At 35.1% G+C, this 13,065-nt stretch overlaps 1 protein-coding gene across 31 annotated transcripts in view; it reads right to left on the reverse strand.

Annotated features, from left to right (window-relative positions):
- Positions 1-13,065, reverse strand: part of NOL4 (nucleolar protein 4) — a 373,814-nt gene that overhangs the window by 154,503 nt on the left and 206,246 nt on the right. The window lies entirely within an intron of this gene.

Here is a 13,065-nt window from a genome sequence, read left to right on the forward strand (position 1 = left end):
GCTCTTACGCCTGTCCTCTGGAGAATGATCTCCACCTTCTGTCTCTTGCATCCTCAAACCATTCAACGTAGTGCTGAGATGTCCTCCTGGCCAAGGCTCACACTCATTGCATCACTGTAATGCTTACATACTTCGATGATTCCCCATACTCAGGGAAAAAAATCAAATAGCCTGCCAGGCCTAACCCTCTGGAAAGTGCCTCTCCTGACTTGCCTTCATGCACCCCTCAGTCCTTCTGAACTCCATGGTTATTTTCTCCCAGATAACCTTGCTGCCTGCTGCTTTTGTGACTATTCTCTTCTTTCTTTTCACCTTCTCAAATTTCTCTCATGAAAGTGATGCTTATAATTTGGGCTCATACAACATGCCTTCTTCCTTGAAGCCTTCTTCAATTTCCTACTTTGTGTTTTCACAGAACATTTTTTGCATATAAAAACTGACTTTTTTTTACATTTTATTTTAGTTAATTCAGTAACTGGTATTTCTCTTTCAGAAACAATTTTATAGCTCTCAGTCTTTAATAGGGCACCATACTTATATAGAAACTGATGAATATTTGATAACTTGTACAGTTCTGATCCAAAGATTGTTCCAAATAATACTAAATTTATTAAATTATTTCAGCATTCTAAGACATCTCTAAGGAGAAAATGTAATGGTTAATTTTATGTGTCAACTTGATTAGGCTAAGGGGTGCCCAGATAGCTGGTAAAACATTACTTCTGAGAGTGCCTGCAAGGGTGTTTCTGGAAGAGATCAGCATTTCAATTGGTAAACAGAGTAAAAAAGCTCACCCTCACCAGTGTGGCTGGGCATTAACCAATTTGCTGAGTACCCAATCTACTAGCAGCAGACACCAATACTGAGCCCTAGATGTAGAGTCATCCCCTGGGGTAACCAGCCAGCTATCTGGTGACAGACTGATTCAACTGGACTGCTTCCATCATGGAAGGAACAGACACTCTAGATATGAATTTTCCCTTCTTGTACACAACACTTCTGCCAAAGCTACCATCCATGAACCTACAGAATGCATTATCTACCTGGGATTTCATATAGCATTGCTTCTAATCAAGGGACTCAATTTACAGCAAAATAAGTGTGGCAATAGGCCTATCCTGATAGAATTCATTGGTCTTACTATGTTCCCTACCATCCTGAAACAGCTGATTAATAGAATGGTGGGATGATCTTTGGAAGACTCAGTTACAGTGCCAGCTAGGTGTGAATACCTCGAAGGGCTGGGGCAAGGTTCTTCAAAGGCTACATGTGCTTCAAATCAGCAATTAATGTATGATGCTGTGTCTTTGATAGCAGGATTTATGAGCCCAGGAATCAAGGAGTGAAAATGGGAGTGGTATCACTCATTATTACCACTAGAGACAGACTAGAAAAAGTTTTGCTTCCTGTTCCCATGACTTTATGCTCTGCTGGCCTACAGGTCTTAGTTCCAGGGAGATAAATGCTTCCACCAGGAGACACAACAATGATTCTGTTCAGCTGGAAGTCAAAACTGCCACCCAGCCTCTTTGAGCCTCTCATGCCTCTGAATCAATAGGATAAGAAGGGAGTTGCTGTGCTGGCTGGGGTAATTGCTCCAGGCTACCACAAAGAAATTTGAGTAATACTCCACAGTGGGGATGAGGAAGAGTATGTTTGGAATACAGGAGATCCATTAGGGCATTGCTTAGTGTTACCAGGCCCTGTGATATAAGGTCAATTAAAAATCACAATAACCCAATCCAAACAAGGCTACTAATAACCCATACTCTTCAAAAAGAAAGATTGGGTTTAATCTGAAGTTAAGAACCATGACTAGCTGAGGTGCTTGTTGAAGGAAAATGGAATACAGAATGGGTAATAGAAGAAGGTATAAATACCAGCTATCAAGACAAGACTAGATACTGAATATAGGAAAATAATTGCCAGGAGTGTTTCCTCCCTATTTTGTTATGAACATGCTTATATGTATATATTCATATATTAAGCAAATATCTTTGTTTTCTTTCCTGTCTTATTTCCTTCACAAATAACAAAAGATGTACTGACGCTATATTAGGGTATTTAATTATTGTTCATTTTACATCATCATATTTAAGCAACTGCATATCAGAAGAATAAACATCATTCATGGATTTTACCTCCTCTTCTGGGTAAGGCATTAGTTTGTTTTCTGTTACGTGTAGTATAGTTGTATCATGTCAGGCAGAATTATCTCCTTGTTATTTTTTTTTATTTGGAGATTCAGTATGGTTTAAGAAGTTGCATATGGGTGCCGAGTTAATAAGTGGGGGACTTGTGATGGCTAATTTTCTGAGTCAACTAGACTGCGCTATAGGGTGTTGAGATAGCTTGTAAATATTATTTCTGGGTGTGTCTTTGAAGATGTTTCTGGAAGAGATTAGCATTTGAATTGGTAAACTGGTCAAAGAAGAATATCACCTTCACCAATGTGAGTGGGCATCATCCAATCTGTTGAGGGCCCAAATAAAAGAAAGAGGTGGAGAAAGGGCAAGTCCACTCCATTTTTGAGCTGCAACATTCATCTTCTCTTGCCCTCAGATGTTGGCACTCTTGGGTTTATGGTCTTCTAATTCAGACTGGGACTTACACCATTGGCTCCCTTGGTTATCAGGCCTTCAGGCTTACACTGGACCTATACCAGGGCTTTCCTGAGCCTCCAGCTGGCTGACAGCAGATCATTGAATTTCTTAGCCTCCACAGTTGTGTGAGCCAGTCCTTCATAACATATCACTTTCTATCTGTCTGTCTATCTATCTATCTATCTATCTATCTATCTATCTATCTATCCTATGGGTTCCATTTGTCTGGAGAATCCTGAATAATACAGAGGACTAACACCAGTGATAATATCTTAGTTAATGAAAAATGTAAAAATAAATATTACAGGTTAATTTTTACTTTAAAATATTTGTCTCATACGTGAAAATGTAATTGATAAAAAATACTTAATTATTTTACGTGAAGTTTGCACATTGTGATTTGAGAATCGCAATGCAAAGCTCATAAGGCCCCAAATATCTCCTTTACCAGCCCGCCATGATGCAATCCTCCTTAATCACCATAATGGAAATTTATTTCATTTGATTCACTGTTTTTGGTGAAATATTCAAAAGGGAATATATGCATCAGAGAGGTAAAATTGCCTACACCTTGCCTGAAAGAGAAAAGACTCTATTCCAAATTAAGGCTAAAGTCAGCTGCATAGCTGGGAGTTCAGGGAAGCCAAATGGCAATGAGAAGAAATTACCAGAATGAAAAAGTGTATGGGATAAGATCAATGCAACATATTCCCATGTCACTGCATTTTATTTAACAAACATTTGACAGGAAGCAAGCTTCACGCATGTAAATCACTTTAGTGTGCTACCTTACAACCCAACACCCTGCCATCTTGCCCTCATTCCTCATGGATCTTCCCCTCCAGAAGTTCAGAAAAGATTTTTTTTTTTTTCTAGCTGAGGTAGTGATCAGGAGAGGTGGTATGAAGGAAGTAACAGTTTAATTGGATAGATTCCAATGGGGTCAGGAAAGATATTAAGGAGCAGAGATAAGACATCCTAGAATCTATTTTATGAGTGCATGTTACTCACAGAAATGGGATCAAGAATGCCTATAAAATGCCTCTGGGAATGTGTATATTCCAGATTCCTGGATAATAAGTGTAACTAAAAGGAAATAAGGAAGAAGGGACAAAAGAAGAAAAGAAAACTAGTATTTGCTAGCTTAAATAAATCAATGTTCTTCTTCAAGTTGCCAATCTCAGTAAGAATTTTTTAGGCTATTAAAAACAGGTATTAAACTTCCAAATGAATATTAACGAATGGAAGACATTTTTGCAAGATTCAGCTAAACCCTAAATTCTGGAGCCAATAACAACCACTGCAGCAACTTCATTTATTGTAAAACATGCACACCATCTTATTTAATCTTGATAATTGCCTATAGGTTAAGAATTATTATCATCATTTTATTGATGAACTGTCCAAGCTCAAAAGATAGAGACTTGTTCAAAGTCACAGAGCTGATAAGTGTGCTTCCTGATCGGGAAATAATTATGAACCCCAAACTAGTAGCTGGGGGTCTCAGCATCAGGTCAAGTTTGCAGCTACTCATTCTCAAGGCCTACACCATGATCGTTTAACATTATAGTGGTTAAAAGGTGGGTTAAATTATTTGTAGTTTAAATACAAATTTTAGAAATTCTTAGTATAATCATATATACAATTTCTTTGAATCTTGGTTTTCCAATCTGTAAAAATGAGAAAACTAACAGAGCCTAATTCCATTGGATCACAGTGAGAATTACATAAGTTAGTTATTAGAATAATCCTGGCACATAGTATACAAGTACTCAATATACACTTTCATTTTTCCTTGGGACTGAGTTTATGACTTGGCTATTTTTTTTAACCTTGTCATCTGAGTTATCCTCTTGACCCCAGCTAACCCTAAGATCGCCATTTTAAAAGTATTAAAAAGCATACCATATTTTTGTACCTATTAACCATCTACACTTCCCCCCTCTCCCCATTACTCTTCTCACCCTCTGGTAACCATCATTCTACACTATATCTCCATGATTTCAAATGTTTTAATTTTTGGCTTCCACGTATGAGTAAACACAGGCAAAATTTGTCTTTATGTGCTTGTCTTATTTCACTTAACATGTCCTTCAGTTCCATCCGTGTTGTTACAAATGACAGAATTTCGTTATTTTTACGGCTGAATAGTATTCCATTGTGTATATGTAATACATTTTTAATCCATTAATCCACTGATAGACACTTCGGTTGATTCCAAATCTTAGCAACTGTGAATAGTGCTGCAATAAACATGGATGTACAGCTAGCTCTTTGATATACCAATTTCCTTTAGAAATATATCTATAACATACAATTTATAAAAATACGATTTATAACTAACCAGATTATTTACAAATGCATGGCAGTGGGGTTGCTGAAATATATGCTAGTTCTATTTTTAGATTTTTGAGCAATGTCCATACTGTTCTCCATAGTGGTTGTTTTAATTTACTTTCCCACCAATAGTATATGAGGGTTCTCTTTTCTCCATATCCTTGCCAGTATTCATTATTGCCTGTCTGTTGAAGAAAAGCCATTTTAACCGGGTGAGATCACATCTCATAGTAGTTTTGATTTGCATTTCTTTGATGATCAATGAGGTTGAGCATTTTTTCATATACCTGTTAGCCATTTGTATGTCTTCATTTGGGAGATGTCTATTCAGACCTTTTGCCTATTGTTTAAATTGTATTATCATATTTTTTTCTATCAAATTCTTTGAGTTTCTTGTATATTTTGGTTATTAATCTCTTGTCAGATGGGTTGTTTGCAAAAAATATAGTTAGAAGAATGAAAAAGATCTAGTACCTTATAGCACAACAGGGTGGCTACAGTTAATAATAATTTATTACATATTTTAAAATAACTAAAATAGTGAAATTGGAATGTTACTGATACAAATAAATGATAAATGTTTGAGGTGATGGAAACTCCAATTACACTGATGTGATTATTACACATCATATGCATGTATGAGACCATCACATATACCTTATGAATATGTATGCCTATTATGTAGCCATAATAATTAAAAGTTTTAAATAAAAATAAAATAAATAGTAATAAGAAGGCTACAGATAATTGCTTTATGGTGCATAATGTAAGGCTCATCTAATAATGAAAATGTAAACTAGCATATTGAAACAAATTAGAATTTATAACTCTATGAGTCTAGTATTAATTTTTCTTCTTTTATTCTTTCTCCAAATTTGGGTCAATATTGAATATTTTAAGGAGTCCTGGTAATAGCAATTATCTTGAGACATATATAAATCACTTCTGAGTATTTAAAATATAGTTCTTTCTCTTAGAGATTCTCCACTATTCTCAAGGCATCTACAGACTGGAATGATATTTTTAAGCATTTGACCTTATTCTTAACGATAGAACTCAAGTGGAAAAAGACAAGCACACACACACACTTAAGCAAAAAATAAAAAACAAAAAACAGAAAGCCCATAAACAAATAAACAAAAATTAAATACAAAAATAAACAAAATAGACAACTTCTTTTTGAGGTATTGATGAACCCTCAAATAAAGATAAGGATAATGACGGGTCAATTTTCTTTGTTTTGTATTTTGGTCAAAAATACAATCTATAACTAACCAGATTATTTATGAATACATGGCATCAGAAGCTGGAGGGCTAGTTAAGATTTTGTACTAACTCATATGAACTATTATATGTCTAAAAAGGAACTCAAAATGCACATTTCACCGAATGTGCAGAATTAAAATCAACTTCACCTTGCACTTTTCAAGGCATAAATTATAGAAGCCCCTCACCTTCTTCATTTTCCTGAGATATAAAATGTGAAATGAACCAACATGGACTGGAACATGCATAGTAGGCATAGGCACTTGTAATTAATGGCCCTGTCCTTCATCTTCCTGCAATAACATATAGAGAATATGAGCATATGCAATGGCAAACATGGTAGCATAATGATTCAAAAGGACACTGATTTGGGTGTTAGGTCATTTGGGTGGGTCTCAATTTCCTCGTCTGTAAAATGAAGTGGTTCCTGATTTTAAAGTTGTATTATTCTATATAATATAGTTGATTTTACAATCCCTAGTAATGTGGGTATTTATTCATAAAAGCATTGTATACATTTAAATTTAGATTGCAATATGACATATACTATAAAGCTATTAACTTTATTATATCTTTCTTATGTATCATTTTATTTTTAAAAAATCTACTAAGAACATAATAAAAAAATGTATCCAGTAATGAGCAGAACTGAAGAATATGTGATCTTTAAGTATGGAATATACTATTTATATGTGTGTGTGTTTATATGCAAAATACATATGTTTATATATGTATATAATATGAAGATGCTGTTTTAAATTGGTATTTAATAAAATATAAGCTCAAAATTTACCCTAGAGCTGTTAAAAGAACCACTCTCATTCAATTACGCATTCATTTACATTTATGAACCAAAGCAATAAAAGGATACTTTGAAGAAATGCTTAGTTTTATGATAGAGGCATCTGTTACATTCTTTTCATGGTATAAAGTAACTAAAACATCAAAAGCAAAACTAATATTTCAAATAAGAAAATAAGAAATGCCATTGCAAGTATTTGCTATTTATCAAGAAGCTATCCACTGATTGTATTAGATACTATTCCTTTCTGTATAGCTTGCCTGTCATAGTCACCACATGATCCAGAGAGATGATTGGTCTCACACAGCATCAGCAGGTGTGGGTGTAGCGAAAATTACATGGGCTGCAGAGGCAGGTGACCTGGGTTAAATACCAGGCTTTATCACTTATCTGATTGTATTAATAATGTCGCTGGAATGTCTTAAATGGCACTAGAGTTTATTTCCTTTTGTTTAAATAAAGCTAATAACTGTATTTGCTCTTCTTACATTGGGTTGCTTTGAGTTATGAATAAGAAAGCATTACACAATATTCATCATTACTACAGTTGATATAGTATCCCAATATCAAAACTGATATATCCTTTATCCTGTGGCTAAAGTTTCTTTTATACTCTCCACCACCTATCTAATCAAACACCCAATTCTGTCCATTTAATTTTCTATATATTTCTTAAATTTATGCCCTCCTCTCCATCCCAACTACCACCTTACTAAGGCAAGTCTTATTCTCTGTTAGCAGACTTCTCCCTTCTTATGCCACCTAAAGTCATCTTGTAAAACACACGCCAGAATTTTTCCTACCCCAAAACACAATCTGACCACACTATTTTCCATCCTATACCCTTAAGTGATTCCTTGTCAACTAAAGAGTAAAATCCAAGCTTCAAAAGGATATTCAAAACCTTCCCTAGTCTGACACTCTAGTCTCCAGACTTAAATCATCATCTTCCATCTTCAGCATTTCTAGTCCTTACCTCAGTGCTCTGTTCATCAATGTTCCTCTGTTTGGAATTCTCTATTCCCTATTGCTAAGTGGCCATCTCCTATTTAACCAATGAGAATTAACTCAGGAACCTTCCAAGGCATAAGTAAGCCTAGAGGAGACTCACACACAAATCAATTTCTGTATTATAATACACTCATTTATATGTCTGCTTTTTCTAGCCAAAATGTGAATTCTTAATGATAGAGACTCTTTTTTTTTAACTTTGTCCGTCTAGCACTCAGGAGAGTGTCTCACACATATTAAGCACATTTACTATTGTTGTTTCTACCCTGAATAAGAATACATGTTGTTGCTTCTACCCTAAACAACACCTGGGCCAAATAAATGTATAACACCTAAAAGCCAGACATTAAAAATCATTAAATTGAACCAATAATGAGCAGGAATATCCATATAACAAAGACAAAGATAATATTACAGAAGTCAATCCATCGCTCTTAGTTTGTAAAAGACAATTTCTTTTTTTAAAGAGATATTTTGAAACTTGTGCTGCTTCCATTAATCATATTTAAATGAAATTAAATATAGCAAATATTAATGTTAGTTACCATTAATATTTTATAAACTAACTGGTAGTATCAGTTTTGGTAAAAAATTAAAGATTAATTGAAAAAAGTTACATGAAACACAGTGGACAAAATAAAATACTACTAAATAAAGTGAAGATTTAGGGGTCTTGGGAACTGAGACCCAAATATGCAGTAACCACAGTTGCACATAAACTGTTCAACAATAATCACGTGCCCACCGCAGTCCTTATTGGAAACATTATTCTTCTGGGAAATTGCTTCAGAATATTTAACCATATAAAGTAAAATGCAGCTGGGTTACAAATACTAAAAGATAAATAGAAAACAAAAATTAAAAAGTCAATAATACAGTGTTTTTAAGTATTCACTGCCATTAGAATTCTTTCTATTCTCATTGATTAATAATTTAAAACATCTATACCTAGATTGGTGTTTGATTGGCCTTTCATTTTCTATATAGCTAATCCCTTAACACTTCCTCATGGGTCTCATTTTCCAAGCTCTTTATCATCATTTCAGCCCTCTTTGGAGCTCTAATGTTATTAGTTGTCCTTTTAAAATGCGGCCATCAGCAAGTAGAAAATAAATATCACCTAACTTCATTCAGTGCAATACATTTAGTCCTTAGATTAGTTAATGTGATTCCCTGCTAGTCTAGTGAGTTAATTTGCATAATAATAAGTAATCAGTAAATGACATAGTCCAACTCAACTATTCGTTTTAAGCACTTCTATTCACTGTTCAATTTTTCAATGCTTTATAATCATTTTTGTTTGATTTTATTCACAATAAAATTGTGAAACAGGTCAATATTAAACTCACTGGAATCTAAGCTTTTCACATATTCTATATAATTAAGCTTTTATAGCCCTCCAAGGAAGAAGAAATGTAGTGTCACTTCAAAAGGTCACACAGAAGTGATGGAACAATCCTGAGGACTACAAAAGATTGCACAGATTGAACAGAACTTTACTATGAAGTTCACTTCATAGCCTTGGGGTAAAGCAAGTATTGATCCAGATGCGGGAATCCTAGAGCACTCTACATTTGGATTAAGATTGCAGGAAGAATCTCTAAAGTGAAATTCCAGACACAGTCTCCTTCGCAATTAAAATGATTCTGCTTTCCTATCTCAGCCTCTATAACTGTCTTCAATCAAATTTCCCACTAATTCTGTTAGTGTTTCTTCTGCCATGTGATTTGAATCCACCTCTGAGCACTAACTCTCCTAACCAATGTTCAGGTTCAGGCCAATGTCACTTCATCTAAGGATCGCTTAGTTTAACAATTTATATCAATATTGAAATGCTCCACATTTTGGCTTCTAAAATATCCCCTTCTTATCTAGTTACTTTCATTTTCTCCTTGGGTATATGTTTCTCCACAAATTCCTTTTATATCACTTGTTCCTAATGGATTGATATTCTGCGAGGTGACATATTTCAACTCTCTCCTCATTCTATGCTCTCCCAAGGTGATCTTATCAACCACCACAGCTTCAAGCAGCACTTTTGCTCTGAAATCTTTAAAATGTCTCTCTCTCTCCATCCTGTACCTTTCTTCAGAGCTGACACATGTCCCCCGAATGCCTATTAAATATGTCCAATGGACACTGCATGTGCACCGTAAACTACACGTCAAAACCTGCTTCTTCAAATGTTTCTCATTCTGAATCTTAGTAAACGGATTCGTCATCCACTTAGGCAACAAAGCCAAAAATCTTGGAGTCATTCTAGAATGTTCCTCTATGCTTTGCTTTCCATATTCAATAAACCTTTGTATATTTCCTCAAAGTATTGAGAAACATCTATGGACGAGATAGTAAGCCAGGTGTAAGGCATACTGCAGTGGACAAGGTAAACATCATTCTTATATTCACAGAATGTTCACATTAATGGGATATAGAAAGGTAAATATGCTATTCATATTGTAGGCTATGTGAATGGCACTCCCAGGAGTTTGGCAATATATTAATACAACCTATGGAGGTTAGATAGGTAGTCCTGCAAATACAATGTCAAAAGAACAAAAATAACATGTTCAGTAATTTTTTGTACTATATCTCTGCTTTTCTTTCTCATTGTCAGTTATTTGATTCCAACTGTCAATATTTTCCTCCTGGATTGCCACAATAGCTCTCTAACCGGCATTCTCTCATTACTTTTTTCTAGTGCCTATCCTATTCATTCACCAAAACGTTGCCAGAATAATTTTTATAAAATTCCAAGCTGACCACAGGCTTTCTAAAATTCTAAGCTGACCACTAAGCTCTTTCTATTAGACAATCCGAAGTCCTTAAAATGACCTACATTTACTGGTGGAGCCGCTTTATACTTCATCCCTTCACACTTGTTCTCTGCTGCAGCCATGCTAAGCTCCTTGCAAATACCCATGCCAGGTACGCTCTCTCATGGCTCTGTGCCTTAAAACATGCTTACCCCTCTCCCATACATAATCAGAATAACTCCTACTTGCCATTCCACACTCACCTCTGGCATCAATCTCTCTTTAGAGTTTTCCTGAAGAATCATTACAGTCCCTCAGCACCCTTCCTCTGTTCTTTCATTTCACCCTCCTGACCATATGTCCCTCATATCACTTACAGAATCAGACTGTAACCACAAGTTTGTCCCCACTGTTAGACCATGAGCTTTTAAAGGGCAGGAATCTTGCTCTTCTCATTTACATATTTTTGCTTCCTACAACAGTGACTTGCATGTAGGAATCCTTTAGTAAATATTTGGAGAATAAATTAATTGGTGGCAACTAGTTTATCCTGCAAAAGGATGTCATGTTCTTCCTCAATGCCATGAGGAAGTGATAAAATCATACTGAGGTCAGAATGGACAATGATTCCCTAGCCTGAGACCAAGTCATCTTCCCTATCTGCATTCCAGGCCCTTCATAGTGTCTAGCAAGAGACCCCTTCTGAAAGAAATAAAATGGTAATCTTATATTTCCTTCAAAGTTCAAGCCTCAGTTCCTCTAGGAAACCTATTTTGACTCTTACTTCAAATAGCATTTTCTTACTTAAACTCTTACTGTTTTAATACGAGAATAAGTATTGTCTGTACTTGTTCTAAGAAACTTTTCTATGTATGTGTATCCTCTTTCTCAAAATTAAGTATCAAGAGCCTTGTGAATAAAGACTGTTATTTCTGAGTTGTCTCTGCTACCTACTCCATTGCTGCAAGTATGCCAAGTATTTTTAATTGCATAAATTTAAGATGTACAACATGATGTTTTGTATACCTATCCATAGTGAAATGATTACTCCAGGTAAGCAACTTAACAGAGCCATCACTTCCATGTGGTAAGAACATCTAAAATTTACTTTTAGCAAATTTTCAATAGATGATATGATATTATTAGCTCTAGTACTCCTGCCGTTTATATCTCTAGATGTATTTGTCCTTCATAGGTGCTAAGTATTTACTATGTTCTTTTTGAAGACAATAATAAAAATAATATCTCTTGATTCTTTTCCCAATGTGCTATCAAAACTTCTCTCACAAATTTAACTATTTTCTATCTTCATCTTATTTGATTTCTCAACATTGTCCATTGGAGCTGCCTACACTCTCCTTCAAAGGTGGACTTTGCTTAGCTTTCATACATTACACCCTTCTGATTTTTCTTCTGCGTCTTTGGCTATTCCTCAGTTGGCTGTGGGAAGCATTCTTCATTTACTAAGCCATAAATTATTAAGTGCATCAGGGGTATCTTCTTCTCTTCTAGGCTCATTTATCATCTTAACCCTCACAAGCAGCCCAAACCATCTGTGCTTCTCAACTCCATTGTAACAGAGGTAGAAAAGTCACTTCATTCTGTCTAATATGTGCAAGAATATGTTTTAATAAGCATCGTTCCCAGAGTAATACTGAATAAGGGAATAAAAAAAAGAAGAGCAAACTATCGAATAATTTTAGAAAAAAATTTAATAGACACATAGCATAGAAAGAGCATTTCACGATTATTTAAACTTCATAAAGACAGGTTTACGTGGAGGGCAGGGAAACTTAGGAGTTATTTTGTTCTGTAAAATGTAACACAGTGCACAGTGAATCAGATCATGTCATCAAATATAAAATCATTTGTGTTTATGTAATTTGGCTTTAAACCACTGAGGAGGATATTTGAACATTTGCCACAGCAAAAGTTGTAGCAGCCTCCCTCAGGCAGGAGTGCTTAGGTGTCGGCTAATGTCCAGTGACTTGCTTAAAAGAGGATAAAACAACACACCCCCAGGCAAGCCAGAAGATTTAAATAGAGCCAATTTAGGAAGCATAATGCCTTAGCAAATTCAGAAATTAATCCAGATTAAGACATTTTGCTTTAAGGATCTATGTCAAAAAACAAGTTCTACAACTCTGACTTAGAGGTAAGGGCTGGGGAAGGCACTCAAAAGGTATATTCCATAAAAACCCTCATATGTTCCAAAGTACACCTTCAAAAATCATAGAGCAAAGTCACCAGCATGTGTTATCTCAAACTAGCAGAAGTTTAAGCTTAATTAAAA

This window comes from Homo sapiens, chromosome 18 (genome assembly GCF_000001405.40).
Source record: "Homo sapiens chromosome 18, GRCh38.p14 Primary Assembly".
Lineage (NCBI taxonomy): Eukaryota > Metazoa > Chordata > Mammalia > Primates > Hominidae > Homo > Homo sapiens.